Raw genomic sequence first — 19,590 nt, 5'->3', positions numbered from 1 at the left:
CCAGGATAATCCTCTTCGACACTTATGGGATCAGTATCAGCTATACATTCAGCACTGGAAGCCACAGGAATAGTACATTGAAGAGGCCCAAAGAGCTCTGCCTGGAATGTCACTTTAACTTCCCTTCCCTACAGGGAGCGTGGCTCAAACATTACCAGTTTAATCTGGACACTTTTTCCCCTCGAACTAATGCGTCTAGAAGGCCTGCATCAGGGGCTATGGTGACAGCCAGCCAGAGATTTTGCCATTTCCCAGTCGGAGAGTGTGGCGGTGCTGGCTGCAGGGAGTGGGGAGAAGCTTTTTCTGCTCCTTTAGCTCTTCACTAGGCTTGCATCACGACCTCCCCAGTGTCGCTCCCTCAGGGTTAGGGGCCCTTTTCCCTTTAGTCCTTGTGCGCACTGCTATGGCTGTCCCTGCAGTCCTGAGTGTCTGCAGTAACCTCTGTGTGTAGTACATCCTTCCCCCCATGAGACATGGTAGGGTGGAGATGTGGGACCTCATATCCAGCAGAGCCCTGAGTTTGCCCCTCTCCTCCCTGGGGCTCTCCAGCATACTAGGATGGGTGTGTATGACCTTCAGTCCCCTTTAGGGACATGGAAACCTCAGCCCAACCTTTAATCATCTCAGTCTTTAATGCAGCTGAGGTTGTGGTAGAGTGGGAGGGATCCTGGGACATAAAGGGAGAGAGTGGCTCCGAGCCACAAAGCAAGTCATATTTATATTTACTTTTGGCTTGAGTACACAGCTCCCCCAAGGATCTTTCAGTGTTTCATTTTACTCAAAGTTCTATCTTATATAGCAGGGTCCTATTGCCGCACCGTTGGAGACTTGTTGATTGAGCAGCCATATCCATATTGCCTTTTGGCAGGGGCTGCTGGGCTTGCTGCCATTGTCATGATCACTCCTCTTCCTCCTTTTGCCCAGAGGACAGGGCAGTAACCAGGGTGACATTCAGTGGCTTGTTTCAATCCTACCTCTTTCCATCAGCCTCTCTAATAGTGGGACAGTGGGGGACTCTCACTACCCCATTGCCTGCCCATGGAGGCCCTCATTCTTTCTCTTACCAAAGACTATGTCTCTCCTCATCCTATGCTTGTCTCCACACTGTCAGGGGCTGTGATTTTATCTTAGCCTACTTATTAGCTAATAAGTTAGCCTGTCACTGTTTTTTGCATGCTGACAGAAGACAAAGTCTTGGGTCAGAGACAGAGGACTTTATTTCTCATGGCACAGCAAGTGGGATGTGCATCAGCATGTTGGCATCAGTTTCCTTTGCCCCTAAGTCCCACGTGGTGCTGAGGGACTGGATGAATGCTTGCACATGCAGTAGCTTGCATCACAGCTGAGTAATATTAAGCTTAGGGAATCTGCTGTTTTATGGCAAGCAATAAACAAGACAGCCCTCTGTCTCAGAGGGAGACACTAACTTCCCTCAAGGTTGTTTACTGCAAACAGCATTCTTGGCATACCTTGCAAGGCCTGGAGGAGCACAAGAGAGCCACGGAGGACTGTCTCTCCTAACACAAGCAATAAAAGCCAGGAGGAAATATGAATGTTACAACTGGTTTTACTTGGGAAACTTTTGAAGTAAAAATCTGGAGCCCAGGCTGGGTGCGGTGGTTCACACCTATAACCCCAGCACTTTGGGGGGCTGAGGCAGGTGGATCACCTGAGGTTTGGAGTTTCGAGACCAGCCTGGCCAACATGGTGAAACCCCATCTCTACTAAAAATACAAAAATTAGCCAGGTGTGGTGGCGGCCGCCTGTAGTCCTAGCTACTTGGAAGGCTGAGGCAGGAGAATCGCTTGAACCCGGGAGGTGAAAAGTGCAGTGAGCCAAGATTGTGTCCATGTACTCCAGCCTGGGCAACAAGAGTGAAACTCTGTCTCAAAAAACAAGCAAAAACAAAACAAAACAAAACAAAACAAAAAAACTGGAATCCTTTTGTTAGTATGTTCCCAAACAGATTTAAAAACTAACCACAAATGTCAGGACAGTTTAAGGAGGGCCCAGCAGGGATGGTACTTTATAATCTACAGAATTCTTTCACATGTGTTATCTGAGTTGAGCCCTAAGGCCTCCCTGGGAGGTGGGCAGGGCAGATAATATTATTGTCTTCATTTTGTAGATGAGATAAGAGGACTAGAGAGAATAAGTGATTTTGGCGGGTTGTGCCATTAATTAGTGGTGGAGCTGGGACTGGATCTCTCTTTCTGCAAATCAGTTTCATTACCCTGCTTTGAAGTTATTTCTGTCTTCGACCTCACCATGCCAATGTCCTCACTGCCTGTCAAGGTGTTTAGCAGATGCTGAAATAGACCTATTCTTTTGCCTATCTTGGACCCACCAAGTAAGATATAAAAAGAACCTTAGATTCTTAGGTAAAGCATGTTTTCCCCTTATGTAGTAGGTCAATAATGACTGCTCATGACCTGGGGATTGATGACTACTAGAAAGTAACCCTTCTTTTGAGCTACAGGGAGAAAATTACAAATAGAAAAGGCCAGGCTCTGCTGGATGACTTGGCTGCGTTCCCAAAGCCCTCATGTATGGTGTAGAAAGGTGTATGTGGTTGTATAAAAGAGGACTTTGCATTGTGTTTGAAAGCCTGTTTATTCAAATCACTTATTTACTTGCAAAATAACTTAAGCAATGAGGATAGGTTTTAGATGTGGTCTTAATTTAGTAAGAAAGCCTTCAACTTTTATATACTAGTTAGTATAAGATCAGCCAGATCACAGTTAGCAGCTTACTTGTCACAGGGTGGCTGAGCAAAATGAGACTCCTGTGACACTCATGGTTTATAGACTCAACTCTGACCAGCAGCCCAACAGCGTCGTAATGGACCTTCTAATAGCAAATGTTGTCTCAGAAGTTAGCAGACTTGGAAGAAACTTTTTTTAATTTAAATTTTTGTTTACACTAGCTACTTGAAGATAGGAAGAAAACTTTTTTTTTTTTTGAGACGGAGTCTCACTCTGTCGCCTAGGCTGGAGTGCAGTGGCGCGATCTCGGCTCACTGCAAGCTCTGCCTCCCGGGTTCACGCCTCAGCCTCCCTAGTAGCTGGGATTACAGGCACGTGCCACCATGCCTGGCTAATTTTTTGTATTTTTAGTAGAGACAGGGTTTTACCATGTTAGCCAGGATGGTCTCCATCTCCTGACTTCGTGATCCGCCTGCCTCGGCCTCCCAAAGTGCTGGGATTACAGGTGTGAGCCACCGTACCCGGCCAGAAGAAAACTCTTACTACAAACCTTTCCATATTATGAGAAAACATCTTGTCCTTTTAAAATAAATAGAAACTCAAGATACAGAGTAAGTATATGTATATTTAACTCAATTGGTAACTGGCTAGTGAATATTTGCTCGCCTTTCTCATCTATCTAAATGAAGACCAGTGGCCAGCTTGATGTCTTTCTTCCTAAAATCACTTGTGTCAAAATATTTTTTTTTTAAATCCAGACTTTTGCATTAATTGTTTGAAATGCATAGCCTTTAATTTTAACCATGCTTTATGAAGGCCATTTGGATTTTATGATAATTTTAAAATTCTTGTTTCTCTTTCTGTGTTTCCTTTAGTTGGGATGAGACTCACTTTGGAAAAATGGGAAGTTACTATATCAACCGTACATTTTTCTTTGATGTGCACCCGCCCCTGGGAAAGGTGAGCAGTGTGGTGAATAGCAGCTCTCTGGTCCCAGAGGATTGTTCCTAAGGGCTGGAGCCACATCTTGATTTTGGATTTGGGGCTTCTAGAAAGAATTTGGGACTTGTAGAAAGAATTTTCTGACATTTCAGACCAGCTACTTTCATGGAAAATCTCTGGTGTTTTTTAAGGGTCCTCTGGGCTCAGAAATGGAAAGAGGGCCCATCAGCTGAGGGAGGGATGAACAAAGTGTGGCACAGCCATATGGTGGAATAATATTTGGTCATAAAAAGGGATGAGGTTCTGATACATGCTACAACATGGATGAACCTGGAAAACATGCTAAATGGAAGAAGCCAGACACAAAAGGTTACATACCCTGTGATTCCACTTATATGAAATATCTAGAACTGACAAATCCGCAGAGACACAAAGTAGATTAGTGGTTGCCAGGATCTCAGGGCAGGGAGGATTAGGCAGTGACTGCAAATGGGTGTGGGGATTCTTTATGGGGTGATGACATGTTACAGAATTAGGTAGTGGTGATGATTGCACAATCTTGTGAATATACTTAAAACCACCCATTGCACACTTTAAAATGGTGGATGTTATGTTATGTGAATTTGTCTGAATTTTAAAAAAGAAAAAAGAAATAGGAATACATTGCATGAAGCAGAAATAGCTTACGAGGCTGATATCCATATGGGGCTGACTTCTTTCTCCCTTCCCATGCCCAGCATACACATGGTTTGATCTGTTTCTCTCACATGTTTTACCATTAGAAATTCAACCAATTAGAATTCACTTTACTCTTTTTTTGTTTGTTTGTTTTTGAGACAGAGTTTCACTCTTGCCACCCAGGCTGGACTGCAATGGTACAATCTTGGCTCACTGCAACTTCTGCTTCCCAAGTTTAAGTGATTCTCTTGCTTCAGCCTCCCAAGTAGCTGGGATTACAGGCGCCCGCCACCACGCTGGCTAATTTTTGTATTTTCAGTAGAGACGGGGTTTCACCATGTTGGCCAGGCTGGTCTTGAACTCCCAACCTCAGGTGGTCCACCCGCCTTGGCCTCCCAAAGTGTTGGGATTACAGGCAAGCCACCGCACCTGGCCCATTTTAGTCTTTTAAAAACAAAAACCTCTGAGAAGGCTCTCGGATTAGCCCTGGAATTCACTCAAGGCTTTCTTCCTAACTGGAGACTTAGATCTTGGGCACCAAGGGGACAGGAATTTTCCTGTGATTAAGTGGGGAGGGATCTTGGAGCAGGTAGTACTTGGGGGATAAAGGCAGGAGCAGGGAAGGCAGGAGGAGGCAGGGAGTGTAATCTTTTATCAAAGATCACAAAGATCACCTATGGTTGGGCTTAAGGAAGCATGAGAGCAGGGGGCCCTACAGCGTGGAGGGATGGGAAGCGAGGTAGAACAGGTAGCCTATTTCAAAATTGGCTCTGAGCCCAAGAAAAGTGTAGAACATATTATGCCTCTTCCTATCTCTTTTATACTATAACAACAATAACAAGAACAATTAAAAACATTTATTCTGTTCTAGTCACCTTAGAGGCATTATCTCATGTAAGCCTCAGAACAACCTTATAAAGTAGGTATTGTTTCATCCCCATTACACAGATGGGGAACTGAAGGAAGATAAGTAGTTCGTCATAGGGAACCAAGCTAGTAAGTGGCAGATTCAAGGGTCAGGCTGGCATAGAGCCTTCTCTCTTAATCATGACACCACAGTGCCTCACAAGCTTGCCTTGGCTCACTCCTCAGACTACATCTGTTACTACCATAGAATTAAACAACAGAACATGTTGAGTATTTGCATGGAGCTCGCCTGGGAACCAGATTTCTGATGAAGATTTTTCATAGGAAACCCAGCCCAGTCTTTCTGTGGGGACTGCCCGTTCTTTTTTGGAGTTTTCCTGGTTCTCAGCGCACTGTGGACATGTGCACAGGACTGGCTGATTTGTTTAATTTACCTAAGCCTTAGGCCAGGCGTGGTGGCTCATGCCTGTAATCCCAGCACTTTGGGAGGCTGAGGTGGGCAGATCACCTGAGGTCAGGAGTTCGAGCCCAGCCTGGCCAACGTGGTGAAACTCCACGTAAAAATACAAAAATTAGCTGGGCATGGTGGCACACGTCTGTAGTCTCAGCTATTTGGGAGGCTGAGACAGGAGAACAGCTTGAACCTGGGAGGTAGAGGTTGCAGTGAGCTGAGATCGTGCCACTGCACTCCAGCCTGGGCGACTGAGCAAGACTCCATCTCAAAAATAAATAAATAAATAAATATAATAATATTATATCAAAGCCTTGCCTTCCTCACATCTGGTTGCCCGTGTGAAGGGAGAAGTGTGAGGCTTCTAAGGCTGCCCTCAGGGAATGCGGCCCATCTGCACCCCTAATTTAGCTCCTGATGGTTCTGTGTTCTGTCTGGTTGAAAGAGAGTGATGAGCAAACTGGAAACCTGTGAGAGGGTGCAGTAGCTTCTGCAGGTTCTGAGGCCAAGCCAGTCAAGGAATCAAAACCCCTCCAAGTAGCAAGCAGGAAGTTTTCTCCTTTGCTACTGAGGCCAAGACCTGCCACTTCACATTGCCTACCAACCCTGGGCACCTGGAACTTAAACAGGAACTTAAAACATAAGACAGGAACTTAAAACATAAAAAAGCCTGCACGTAGTAGACAGAAGGAAGTACAGGGTCAGAAGCCTCATCCACCACATTTCTAGTCCGCAGAGGTAACCACGGTCATCTTTGTCAATAGTTTCTTACATTCCTCTAGGAATTCTTTTATACAAATACAAGCGTGTATGTTTTTATATATGTACACATGAACAACACATTATATATACACACAATTCTTTTTAAAAACTCAAATGGGATAAGTCTACAGTTGTTCAGCAGCTTGTGTTTGAAACATGATATATCTTCTTTCCACATTAGCACATGAAGATGCGCTTCATTCTGTTTAATGGCCGTGTGTCATTCTATTATGTAGATGTGCCGTAAGTATTTATCCCTCTTCAGTTGGTGGGCAGCATGTATGTTATTTCCAGTTTTTAGTCATTACAAAAGATATTGCAGTGAACATCCTTGTACATATATCGTTGTATAGTTGCGCAGGTATATATGAAAAATTCCCAGCAGCCAAGCTAAAAAATCGAAGAATATGCACATTTAAAATTGAGTTAGATATTGCTAAGTTTTCCTGCAAAGATGTTGTAATCATATATACTCCCACCAACAGTGTATGACAGTGCTTTCTTCCCCACATCATTGCCAGCACTGGTACGATCATACTTTAAAAACTTTGTTGGCCGGGCGCGGTGGCTCACGCCTGTAATCCCAGCACATTGGGAAGCCGAGGCGGGCGGATCACCTGAGGTCAGGAGTTCGAGACCAGCCTGGCCAACATGGTGAAACCCCGTCTCTACTAAAAAAACAAAAATTAGCCGGGCGTGGTGGCAGGTGCCTGTAATCCTAGCTACTTGGGAGGCTGAGGCAGGAGAATCACACGAACCCAGGAGGCGGAGGTTGCAGTGAGCTGGGATCGCACCATTGCACTCTAGCCTGGGTGACAAGAGCAACACTTCATCTCAAAAAAAAAAAAAAAACAAAAAAACTTTGTCAATTGGAGAGTAAAAAATGACATATCACTGTTTTCATTTGCATGACTGTATGAGTTAGGTTGAACATTTTTTCATATGTTAGCCATTTGTATTTTGTTTTCTATGAATTTGTCATTTTTTTCTAGTAATTCATTTTTTTTCTATTGATTTGAAAGAGTTGTTTAGTTAAGAAATTAACTTGGGGCCAGGCGTGGTGGCTCATGCCTATAATCCCAGCACTTTGGGAGGCTGAGGCGGGTGGATCATGAGGTCAGGAGTTCAAGACCAGCCTGGCCAAGATGGTGAAACCCCGCCTCTACTAAAAATACAAAAATTAGCCGGGCGTGGTGGCAGATGCCTGTAATCCCAGCTATGCGGGAGGCTGAGGCAGAGAATTGCTTGAACCTGGGAGGCAGAGGTTGCAGTGAGCTGAGATTGTGCCACCGCACTCCAGCCTGGGTGACAGAGCGAGACTCTGTCTCAAAAAAAAAAAAAAAAAAAAAAGAAGAAATTAACTTGGGGCTACTTTTAACCTTAAGGGAACTGAGAGAGAATTGAATTTTGAGTGTCTTCCAAGTGCTTGGTATAGTGTTAGGTGTTTACTTAATAGCACCTCTAATCCTCATGCCCCCTGTGAGGAAGTTTTTATTACCTATAGCTCAGAGATACTAAATATTGTCCGTGATCAGAGAACTAGAATATAGGGTACTGAGATCCAAAGCATCTGTACATTTCTTCTCTCTAGACCAGCCAAGCAGTCTGGAAATGTATGACCAATACCAGGCGAGCTTGTCCTGCGAGATCCCAGGTGGGAAGAGGGATCCATTTGATTGCCACTTGGCAGCTTTAGTTCATCTAGCTATTTGGATGACCCTGTCTGAACCCTGGGGTCCCTGCCTTCCTTTTTAAAAACAAGTCTTTGTTGTCTTTTACTGCCAGACTTTGGCTTCTATACCTTGACCTGGAGCTATAGAGACTGGCTCTGTTTAGAACTACTTAGAGAAAAAAGTGGGTTGGTTAGTAGTCTAAATCCATGTCCCACAAGTGTGGCTGGGAGGGACTTTCCCCACACAGCCAGTGTATTCCCTCCCCCAACACAGCCTGCCAGAGCTCGGGGGTCAGGCTGGAGCAGCCTGGGGCTGTCCCAGATGGTTGGCATTTGCCAGCAGTTTTTATACTTCAGCTGCTTCTGATTGCTTGTGTGAAAAATAGAATTTTATAATGTTGATGGCCAAGGAAATATACAAAAGACACGGCCGATCTTGTCAAAGGTTTTGAAGGATTCATGACTCACAGTCTCAGTTTCTAATTGATTTGTTCTGGCTTGGGAGGTACCAAGGATGCCCTCCTTTGGAATATTAGGAATGGGAGAAACCAGCCTCTGGCCTTTGGCAGTTTTTCTCTTCCCCTCTGGGCAAAGCATCTGTCTTTGCATTCCTCTGTCTGATTTTCTTCTCTTGTCTCTATTCCTGGTATGTAGCTCCTTGGTCTCTTTTCTCTCTCACTGTGACTTGGAATCTCACTTTCCTTTCAAAAGGCCAATTCCCCAGGAATCAGCCTCTGTCCAAGAGCTGCCGTGTTTTATTTTATACCATCTGAAGGAAAGCGGAATCAGAGAGCCCCTTACTGACTCTACCCTTCAAATTGTGGGGCTCTTTTTCCTTCCTGAGTGTTTAGGTTGTGCTGTTCCTAGACCTCGGCCATAATACAAGAGAGGATTTGTTTCAAGCAGTGAGCTCTGTAGACAAAAGATTCTTTGCTCTGTGGCAGCTGCAGGAGAAAATGTTGCATTGGCAACATTTTCTATGGACAGTTGTCAAGGGAACCCAAAGTCTGTGGGTGCAGCTGGAGGGAAGTTCAGAGGACAGAGGAATCTTCTCCCAAAGGCTTCTCATCTTTTTGTTTGTTCTTCTCTCCTCAGATGCTGATAGGTCTTGCTGGCTACCTGAGTGGATATGATGGTACCTTTTTGTTCCAGAAGCCTGGGGATAAATATGAGCATCACAGCTACATGGGAATGAGAGGAGTAAGGCTTCCTGACTTGAAATGGACTGACTGAACCCTGGGGCCACACTAAACCAGAAATGTTATAGTTAGCAGCCCTGGCGTGGTGGCAGGTGCAAATAAAGGGACTTTGGGTGGTGAGGAGAGGGGAGGATGATCAGACCCTCCCCTGTGGTGTAGATACTCAGAACTGAGGTGAGGAAGAAGGGAAGAGGAGGCTGCAAATAATACAGAGATGACATAGATAGAAGCAGGCACGCATTGTCACCTGCTGCCCTGCCCCGGTATACTGTCAGACCTCAGGTTGGAGAACAGCCTGGAACCCGGGCAATCAGGAGTCTCCTGCAGCCCCAGCAGTGCCTCCATGCACTGGCACGCTGCCTGCTCCTCCCCTCACAGCCACAGCTGCTGGAGTGTTGCCTACATCTCAGAGCCTTTTCTGAAGATTTTGGCATCCCCACACCCTGTCACCATGTTCCTGTGTCTTTCCCCATGAAGGTTTCAGGCACACAGAAAGAGTTTTCCAGCCTTATTTGAAGGGAGGCCAAATGTCTGCTGCAGTCCCTCTGTGTCCTGATTTACAGCACCAGCCTTGATGGAACATGGCAGGGCCTTAACACCCAACTCTTTGGGAACCTTGAACGTGTGGCTGAATGAAGCCAGCAGAAGCTGACCTCCAGTGTGGACCTCTCAGAGAAGTTTGCATTTACAAGCCCCTTTCCTTGAGGATTTCACAGCATTTAAATAAATGGCTGTGTGCTTATTTGGCCTCATCGTTAGATGATTTGCATGGCTATATCGTGGTATATTAAACAAGGAGTATATCCTACCCTCAAGTTCTTGTTCTTAAGTGATTCTGTGTCTTCCTAATAACTTTTGAACACCACATACCATACATAATTGGATGTGACAACCAAACGTGAGAATTTCCCATTCTTCTGGCTTGTCTGTTTATTTTGATGGACAGGTAGGGGATGGAAGAGGGCCAGCAGCTTAAAAAAACAAAAAACCAAACAGGTATCCAGCTACTGAAGTATCAAGCAATCCCTTTTCCCAAAATCAAAATACATACATTGTGTAGATTAAAGACTGGTTTCTGGTGTAAATGAAGAAAAGAACTAGGGGTTCCTTAAAATTCTCTGAAATACCTTCAGAGGGGTCTTTCTCAACTTGTACCTACAGTTGTGTAATAGAAGCTAATGGCTATCAATTACTATCTGTGTGTTAATAACACTCATTTTCTTCCCTTCTCTCTATTCCTGGTGTGTAGCTACTTGGTTGCTTTTCTCCCTGTCTCCTACCCACACCTTCCTGGCTGAACTTGCTGATTTCATGTCAGTGCACAAGTTGCTGCTTAATGGGAACATATATATTGCTTGATTTGGCTCTTCACTATTACAATACTCTTTTCTTAGTTATAGATATCCTAGGTGACTTTAGGTCACCAAAGTCATGCCTTCATCAGGTCCCCTGTCTTAAATGTTAGGTTGTACTGAGTCCAGTAGGTCGCTGACCTAGCTCAGCTTGTTATTTGACAGCTTCTCTATTCCTCCCACAGTTCTGTGCATTCCTTGGCTCCTGGCTGGTCCCCTTTGCCTACCTCACTGTACTGGATCTGTCCAAGTCCCTCTCGGCAGCACTGCTCACAGCTGCCCTCCTCACCTTTGGTAAGTTGTCTTAGCCATACCATGGCTTTTGGGAAATGGGCTGCCACTCCGTGAATGTAGCTGAAAATCAGTACATTCAAGGGCCCTATATGTGGGTCCAGTTCAATTAATTTTAGGATTGGGTAAAATGTACTACAAATCTCATTCACTAGTAATACTTAATGTATATCAATAGTTATATATAACAAGCCTTTATATTATTGGAGGGGAGAATCGGCGTGGGTAATCCCAAGGAATAGATTTACCTCCACGTTATTCACGGTTGAGTTTGGAATGGGTAATAAGATAGATTTGTATGTGAGTATGTGTGTTTTTGAAGGAAGCTTATAATTCTAATTTTGCTTCTCTTAAGTTAAGATTAGTTTGCATTCCTTAACTAATTTCAACTGAATATAAAGGTAAATGCAGAAGTAGCTGGGTGGCAAGAGATAGCAAAATGGGAACTTGGATAATAATCTTCACATGGATAAATGAGAGTTCATCGTAGAAGTTGATCCTGTTGCTAGCTTTGTTCCTATGAAAGTGAATTCATGACCTTGTGGAGCTTAACATTTAAAGAAGTCTAGACCAATTTAAATGGGGTACTTTAGGGGTTTGCTTTGACAGATATGTTGCTTTGTTTTGACAGATAGATTGCAAGATTATTGGCTTTCTCTATAGAGGACTGGTGGCTTTTTCCTTGTATCTTGAATTTCCATCTTCAGTTATTCATTCATTTAGTCATTTATGTACTTTTCATTCAATAGTTATTTCTCAAGCACCTACCCAGCTCCCGGCCACTTTTCTTAGTCTGAGAGGATACACTGATGAGTCACTCTGGTCTCATTGAGCTTACCTCATCGTGGGGCAGACAGTAAATAAACAAGTAAATGAATAAGTCTGTCATGTGATGTCCTAAGCCACAAGTGCAGTGTAGAAAATAAAGCAGTGTAAGGGATGGAATAATGGAGATCAGTACTATTTTAGACAGGATAGTCAGGAAAGAGCTTCTGAGAGGGGAGCTTTGAGCAGAGACCTGAGTGAGACAAAGGATCAGGCCCTGCAGGGATCTGAGGGAAGAGCATTCAGGCAGAGGGAAGTGCATGTACTGTAGTTCTGGTGTGGACCTCTGTGGGTTCAAATCACAGTAAGAAGGCTGGCGTGGAAAGGGCAGAGTGAGTGAGGCAGAGGGTGTTGGGAGATGAGGTTAGATGGGTAGGGAGACCGCACAGACTCTGGCAGTTGTCATGAGAACTTTTTACTTTGAGTGAGGTTGGAAGACATTGGAGGGTTTAAGCAGGGGCATGACATAATGAGATTTAAGGATTTAAATTAAAAAACATCACTCTGCCATCTGTCTGGAGAATCGACCCCCAAGAGAGACTTCATGTAAAATGATAAGATTCTATCATAGGTGTAGATAGTTTGCGGTTACATGAGCAGAGTGGTAGGACTCCCTTTTTGATGGTGGAAATGAGGATGACACCTTGTCTCAGGGCTGGTCTGAGGGAGCGAATGACATGATCCTCTCTTGGGTTGAGGGCCTAGAGGCAGTGTGAGTTACTGCTTCTTGTCATTGGGCTTTGATGTCTCCCAGAGCTGTGGCCTTCTACCTCCCTGATGACTCAGTGTTGACTCTAGTCCTGACTGCACAAGTGCTTACACTCAATTAAGTGGCAAGAGGGACTGTTTCCTACTACTGGGGTGCTTGGTTTTCAGGGGGCCCTTCTCTTACCTCGCTTTTTCACCAGCGAGCTCATGTTTTTCAGACACGGGATGCCTCACTCTGTCCCAGTACATCCTCCTTGACCCCATCCTGATGTTCTTCATCATGGCTGCCATGCTGAGCATGGTCAAGTACAACTCTTGCGCCGACAGGTCAGAAACTCCATCCCCGGGAGGGGAGGGTTGGAAGCTGTGGCAACTCCAAAATTTCTGTAATGGCCAGGGCCAGGGCGGGTGCCCAGAGACTTGTCTTGAAGCTGATTTTAAGGCAAGCATACTTTTTGTTTGTTTTTTTAACTTAGATTGTCCATTTTAGATCATAAAAATAGATTTTAAAAAGTTTTCTACAGGTGATTTTATTTTTGCCATATTCAAGACCGAGAAAATGTCAGTTGTCTTTTTCAAGCGTATTATTATTATCATGTTTACAATGGAGTACAATTGGGTAGGGGTTTTGGGATATCATGGGGGGTCCTAATACTTTCCCCACCCACCTCTTGTAACCAGTGCTGGTTAGGAAATCCCGGGACAGGGCTGTCCTTCACATACTCTGTCCTAGAAGGGAGGGCACCAGGGTAGATGCTGCCTGGAAACTATCTCCCTTTCGTCAGTGGTTGCATCCAGTCCTGACCTAATGATGGGAATAGCATATGTAAAGGTTGGCTTGAATGGTCCATACCAGCCAAGAGGATCCTTCCAGGTCCTGGTCAGTTCTAAAGCTGACTTGGAGGGTCCGGTCTACTTGCAGAATAGTCTTTTCCAGATCATCCTTCTACTTCTGAGAAAGTAGAATAAGTCATTCATTCTATTCAAACCAGAAGAGTTGGCCCCTCGTAGGCTTTTCTGGAAGTTAACTTTGCACAGCCAGGCTCATTAAGCTCCATTGTGCTAATCAAACCTGATCAGTGACTCTCAGCCCACTCTGGCTTTGGTTGTTGTGCTTATGCCACATCCACTTCCATCTACCATTTCTTGAGTACATACTGTGTACCAGGTACTATGCGGGGAGCTGGAGGTACTGAGCTCTGTTGGGCTTGGCTGTTAAGGAATATTCACTCTGGCAGAGGAGGCAGCCAGAGAGCCAGAGAATCATAGTGTAGAGTACTAGGTGCTATACGAATAGCAAAATGGTTAAGAGCACTAACATTGACCCAATTGCCTGGGTTAAAACTGTGCCCCACTGCCTGCTAGCTGTATTACTCCACCTCTCTGTATCTTGATTTCCTCCTGTGCAAAAAGAGGACCTAGTGACAGGATCCTCTGTGTGCTGTAGTGACGGCTAGAAGAGTTAATATATGCATCGTACTTGGAATGATGCGTGACGCATACATAGTAAGCACTCGGTAAATGCTGCCTTCGACAAGGGCAGAGGTGACACAAAGGAGAGGGCTGCCTGAGTCCAGGGGCACCTAAGGATTCTCCTTTTACTCCTGCCTGACTGGTCACTTGTGAAGAAGGAGCCCCCACTTACCCTGAGCCCTGTACTTAGCCAGGAGCACTATGGACACTCTCCCCTGAAGAATACCCTGCGCCCTCAGACAGTGCTTTTCCTGCCGTTCCAGGGGTTTCACAGGCCGCCTCCTCCATGGAGCCACGCCATGGTCCCTTGAGGCTAAGAGCCCCCAAGACAGGGCACAGCACAGCCGCTCCAAGTCTGAGAACTGCCCTGTCCCCTGCTGCGCTTGCGTTTGGCTTTGGTTCCAGCTGCCAAATTGAACTCCGTCTTGTTGATTTTCAGGCCCTTCTCTGCCCCCTGGTGGTTCTGGCTCAGCCTGACTGGCGTTAGTCTTGCTGGTGCTTTAGGGGTCAAGTTTGTTGGCCTCTTTATCATCCTTCAAGTGGGGCTGAACACCATTGCAGACCTTTGGTACCTGTTCGGAGACCTCAGTCTTTCATTGGTGAGCACCCAAGGGTTTGCTGTGGAAATGTTTTTGCTCCCTGATGTTGCTGAGTAGGAGCTGGTGGCCTTCTCTGTCTCTACTGCAGGTGGCAGAGTGGCTGTGTTCTGGGTCCCAGGTGGGCTGGACCCCCCAACCTCCGCAGACAGCAGGACATCAGGGAGTGGGCCCGGCTGAGGACTGGATAGGGTTCAAGGGAGAGGATAGATTAACATTCTTGGAAGTCTCTTTTTGCATTTGTTTTATAATGTCTGTCTTTTTTTTTTTTTTGAGATAGAGTTTCACTCTGTTACCCAGGCTGGAGTGCAGTGGGCCGATCTTGGCTCACTGCAACTTCCGCCTCCTGGGTACGAGTGATTCTTTTGCCTCAGCCTCCCAAGTAGCTGGGATTACAGGCACATACCACCATGCCCAGCTAATTTTTGTAGTTTTAGTAGAGATGCGGTTCTACCATGTTGGCCAGATTGTTCTCAAACCCCTGACCTCAAGTGATCCGCCCGCCTTGGCCTCCCAAAGTGCGGGGATTACAGGCATGAGCCACCGAGCCCGGTCTGAACTCACAATTTTCATTTCCTGACCCACGGTCTCCATATTTGGAGGCCAGTAAGGGCCTTTACAGTTTATTATTTATTAAGGGCTGATTCTATGCCAGGCACTATGCGAAACGCTTTACCTTCATTATCTCATTTACCCCTCATAATAGTCCTATGAGGTAGGGAGTTATTACCCTGATTTTCAAATGAGGAAATCAAAACCTACAGAGGTAATGACTTCCCCGAGGCCATCGGGGAGTGAGAGGTGTATCTAGGAGTCACAACCAGGTTAGGTTGGCCCCAGGCCATCACTCTGCTGTGGTGCTGCTCCATCACCTCCAAACCAGCTCCTAACAAGTTTATTCATTCATTCATTCATTTATTCAGAAAATGTGTAAAGATCATCCAGCCACTGTGTGTGAGGTGCTGGAATATACAGATGAATATAATATGGTCCCCACCCTCTGTGGTCAATGGAGAGAGAGAAATAAGGAAGCAGGCAGTTACAGTCAGCCAGGAGTGCTGGGAGAGCACAGAAAAGGGCACTCGGCCAGTCCCAGGCAATCCAGGAAGGCCTCTGGAAGGAAGCCGCGAAGTTAAGATAAGGAGCCATTAGCCATGTGATGGGTTGGGCTGGGACAGTAGAGGAAGCACTGGGAAAGTTCAAGGAGGTTAGTGTACCTGGAACATGGAGCGGACTGGTGAGCAACTGTGTTGCAGATGCAGGTGCCTTGTCCTTGGCACAGTAACATCCTGGGGTTTTGGGTGTAGAGCCTGGAGAGGTAGCAGAGGGCTGGCCCATGTTTATCTTGTGTAGTGCTTGGGTGGTGGGTGTTACAGAAAGGCTTAGGGTTTCCACATATTCTTCTCTCTCCTCTTGGCCATTTTTTATGATTATGACTGATATATTAAAAGCTATATATAATGCATGCATAGTGCCTAAGGAATAATGAGGTCTCACATGCCTAGCACCCCACGCTGGCCTCTGTTTGCAGGTGACTGTGGGAAAACACCTGACTGCTCGTGTCCTGTGCCTCATAGTGCTGCCCCTGGCTCTCTATACAGCCACCTTTGCTGTTCACTTCATGGTGCTGAGTAAAAGGTACAGACAGAGCCTTTGCAGCATCTTGCTTCTGGTTTTCCTTTTGCTCCTAAGCCTGTGGAGGGGTCGGATGATTTTCTGGGTCTGTGGTTAAAATGATAGGTGAGGGACCCCAGGGGCTTTTTCCTGTTTCTTTCCTGCTATGTTCTATCCTTTGGGTATATGCTAAGGGCTCAGAAAGGCCAGCACCCTAACCTGAAGGAAGAAGCTATTTTCGTTATAGCCAAATTGTCCCTTATCTCTAAACAGAGTCCCCTGTACTTAGCAAGGATAGGCCACAATAAGATGTGCAGTAGGAGTGAGTGTAACAATAACAGTAACTCCGGCGGCAACAGCTCCCACTTAATGAGTAGCTACTGAGAATCAGGAACTGTGTTCCGCATTTTGTACACATTATCTCATTTAATCAGAATCACTTGTGACTTCTCTTGGTTTCTTTAAATCTCTAGTTTATAAATGAGGAACTAAGGCTAAACAAGGTTATCTTGCCCAAGGTCGCACAGCTAGTAAGTGGCTGAGTTGGGATTTGGACCCCAGTTTCTCCAACTCCATCACCCACCTCTGTCCCATGATCTGATTCTACTTTCCTTAAACTATCTGAGCAGAGCTCTTCCCAGCGCTCCTGGGAAATCACACTTTCACTCCTTTAACTTGACTCTCTTCTGCTCTTCCTCTCCCCACAGTGGCCCTGGTGACGGTTTCTTCAGTTCTGCCTTCCAGGCCCGGCTTTCAGGGAACAACCTGCACAATGCTTCCATCCCTGAACGTGAGTGTCTCTGGGCCATTACAAAGGTAGAAGGCAGAGGGGTGTCCTGGGAGTTGAATTGGAAAAGACAAATATGATGGCTTTGGGTTATTTTAGCCTGTGATGGCACGGTGGGAGAAAGACCCAGATAGATCTGGTGAAAATACTCGAGAGTGAATCAGGACAGAGGAGAGGAAGACATCCTGAGCAGCAAGCTCTCTGACCCTAAAGAATGACTTCTCCTTGGTGGCTCTCCAAGCCAGCTCTGTGGGAAGGTCACTCAGAGAGAATATGGTGACAGCACCAGGCCCTTCAGAGCCAGTTTTTGGTTTCCCGCACCGCTTTCTGAGTGTTGCATTCGTTCATCTATGACAGATGGTAGTGGAGCGCGTGCTCACCCTCCAGAGATGGAGCCTGGTGTAGAGGAGCTCCACACGGTGTGGCTGGAAGCGTTAAGTACGTAAAGAGGGAGCACAGCTCTGGGGATTGACAGGCGTGAAGGAGCATGGCTGCTGGGCGGTTAAGGGCATCAGAGGTTCGTGATGTGGGTTGCCTTGGAGTCAGGCCCTGGAAGAATGTGTGGCTTTCAACAGAGGAGAGGGCATCTCAGGCAGGAGGGATGACATGATCAAAGCTGAGGACAGAGTAAAACTTGAGGCACAGGTATATGCAGAAAACTACTGGAAGATAAATGTGAAAAGTTAGGTTGGGCCCAGACTATGAGGGTTTGAGGTGTCTGGATGAGGTATTTGACTTCCTAAAACAGGCCGTGGAGACCTAGTGGAGGTCTTTGAGCAGCCAGGAGGCCAGGAAGGCTGTGCTATAGGGAGATGACATGGGTGGGAGAGTCGAGGCTGGCTGGGGAGGGGACAGGATTGTAGGCAAGAGAAACCCTCTGGGAAGCTATTGCAGGAACCTGAGCTGGGTATGGTGGGGCAGCCACAGGGTAAGGCAAATGGGCATATACAAGGGAGATCTGGACACAGCAAGAGAGGAAGAAAGATGTCACTAAGGACTTGAGTGCAGGTGATTGCTTCCTGGAGGCAGAGACTGCATCTTACTCATTTTAGTCTTTCCAGGACTTTGCACAGTGCCTAAAATACAGCGGACTCTCCCAGACTGGGAAGAATGAGAAATAGGGAAGCAGGAGAAGAAGTTGGGTTGGAAGGGCAGATACTGAATTCCACGCGAGAGGGGTTGATAGTGAGCTGCTTGGGGAAATTGTTGCCATGGGGCCAGTGGGATTTGGGGCTGATGCTTTCAAAGGAGGAATCAGACAAGTAAAACGGTAATTGATGCTGTGGCAGTAGCTGTGATTTGTAAGGAAACTGTAGAAAGAGGAAAAGAATAGAGCTGAGGTCAGATCACTGGGGAATGCAAGAGGAGGAGGAATTAGGAGAGGAGACTGCGGAGGAGCAGCCCTTGAGAGAGTGTGCGGTCGAGAAGTGGGAACAGAGAGCATTTCAAGAAATAAAGGTGGTCAGCCATGTGCAGGGCTGCCGAGGTTGGCCTGCCTGAGAACTCAGAAGAACACAGCTGTGGAGTTTAGCAAATTCCTGCTCATTATTTAAAGGCCTAGTTCAGCTGTCACCTCTTCGATCAAGTCGTCCTCTCTTTAATCCTTGGGAGAGAATTTGGCCTGTTCCGAGTTCCCACCATTCCCACCATGTCACACATTGTCACGCCTTTGTGGGGCACTTGCCCACTGTCCTATACTTGTCAGTGTGTGAAGCCATCTTCCTTGTAGACAGGGCTCTTCCAGGGCCACAGGCAGGCCTCCTCCACCTTTGGATCCAGTGTGTAATTCTTCTGGTCCACTGAATGAACAAAGAAAAACAGGAGCAGGTCATTCCAGCGGATTGGAAGAAGGACAGTATTAAGGAAAAAAGGTTTCTCAATAACTCAGGGCCTATAGGAGCAGGGGATGCTCTTGAGAAGTGGTTTTCTGTGTTTTTTGTTTTTTAATTCAGAGTAAAACAAAACACCATTGAACAGTTATTTCATATGGTACTAGATTCAAAAGGCACGAAAGGATATAGAGTGAAAAAAATGGTTTGTCAAAATGCTGTATCTTGGAGAACATTCCAGGCGAAGACAGAAGATACTTCCTTCTTTATTCCATTGAATCCATGTGGAGACCTTGAGAAGGACAAGTTGTTTTTCGTCTTTTGCTGTTACACGTAGTGCTTTGATAATGACAGTGTTAACACAAGCTTCTTCTGAAGCCCTCAGGAGGCGGGGGAGTAAGTGGGCCCTGTGGTGAACTCTGTCTTGAGTCGGCTCCATGGGAGTGAGAAGGTAGCTGGGCTTCAGTCCAGGGCCCAGGGGAGTCTCGCAGAGGGTTAGTGAGCCCTGTGGCTTCCGAGGCTCCTCGCAGGCACGGACAGCCTCTGGCACTGTGCCAGCTCACCCCTCTGCTGTCTCCCTTCCTCCCAGACCTGGCCTACGGCTCTGTGATCACTGTGAAGAACCTCCGGATGGCCATCGGCTATCTGCACTCCCACAGGCACCTCTACCCCGAGGGCATTGGTGCCCGTCAGCAGCAGGTCAGTGAGCCTTTTGTGCACTTGTACGGCAGCAATGCTGTTCGCCATGACAGTTCACTCTCTTGCCTCCTATCCTTTGCTCATCCTGTTCGCCCTGCTTGAAACATTCTTCCTAGCCCTGCACCCTTCTGTTTTCTCTG

The 19,590-nt window shown here is 46.2% G+C and overlaps 1 protein-coding gene across 12 annotated transcripts in view, besides 4 other annotated features; it reads left to right on the top strand.

The window, feature by feature from the left end:
* The window catches only part of POMT2 (protein O-mannosyltransferase 2), a 45,928-nt gene that overhangs the window by 5,270 nt on the left and 21,068 nt on the right, over positions 1-19,590 (top strand). For 5 of the 12 annotated variants that reach the window (NM_013382.7, XM_011536675.3, XM_047431313.1 and 2 more), the window contains exons 2-9: positions 3,581-3,665; positions 9,173-9,277; positions 10,814-10,922; positions 12,671-12,779; positions 14,365-14,524; positions 16,053-16,159; positions 16,843-16,925; positions 19,341-19,450. In NM_013382.7, the coding sequence (NP_037514.2) occupies positions 3,581-3,665; positions 9,173-9,277; positions 10,814-10,922; positions 12,671-12,779; positions 14,365-14,524; positions 16,053-16,159; positions 16,843-16,925; positions 19,341-19,450 (868 nt within the window). Of the gene's footprint in view, positions 1-3,580; positions 3,666-9,172; positions 9,369-10,813; positions 10,923-12,670; positions 12,780-14,364; positions 14,525-16,052; positions 16,160-16,842; positions 16,926-19,340; positions 19,451-19,590 lie in introns of those variants that run through there. The other 7 variants (XM_047431318.1, XM_011536677.4, XM_047431316.1 and 4 more) reach the window with 4 other exon arrangements.
* Positions 8,054-8,348: a silencer, noted in NCBI's record as "tiled region #2495; K562 Repressive non-DNase unmatched - State 23:Low". NCBI's record gives its function as "represses a minimal TATA promoter and a strong SV40 promoter by Sharpr-MPRA in K562 cells {active_cell/tissue: K562}" and the evidence as "EXISTENCE:reporter gene assay evidence [ECO:0000049][PMID:27701403]".
* Positions 11,615-12,114: an enhancer, noted in NCBI's record as "H3K27ac hESC enhancer chr14:77769843-77770342 (GRCh37/hg19 assembly coordinates)". NCBI's record gives its function as "activates a minimal SCP1, AML or CMV promoter by ChIP-STARR-seq in naive and primed H9 embryonic stem cells {active_cell/tissue: H9 hESC(naive and primed)}" and the evidence as "EXISTENCE:reporter gene assay evidence [ECO:0000049][PMID:30033119]".
* Positions 12,115-12,616: an enhancer, noted in NCBI's record as "H3K27ac hESC enhancer chr14:77769341-77769842 (GRCh37/hg19 assembly coordinates)". NCBI's record gives its function as "activates a minimal SCP1, AML or CMV promoter by ChIP-STARR-seq in primed H9 embryonic stem cells {active_cell/tissue: H9 hESC(primed)}" and the evidence as "EXISTENCE:reporter gene assay evidence [ECO:0000049][PMID:30033119]".
* Positions 14,363-14,422: a silencer, noted in NCBI's record as "silent region_5968". NCBI's record gives its function as "represses an Ori minimal core promoter by ATAC-STARR-seq in GM12878 lymphoblastoid cells {active_cell/tissue: GM12878}" and the evidence as "EXISTENCE:reporter gene assay evidence [ECO:0000049][PMID:35858748]".

The sequence above is a fragment of the Homo sapiens genome, chromosome 14, assembly GCF_000001405.40.
Source record: "Homo sapiens chromosome 14, GRCh38.p14 Primary Assembly".
NCBI classification, from domain to species: domain Eukaryota; kingdom Metazoa; phylum Chordata; class Mammalia; order Primates; family Hominidae; genus Homo; species Homo sapiens.
Note: the sequence above shows the minus strand (reverse complement) of the source record. Positions and strands in the feature narration are given on the sequence as shown.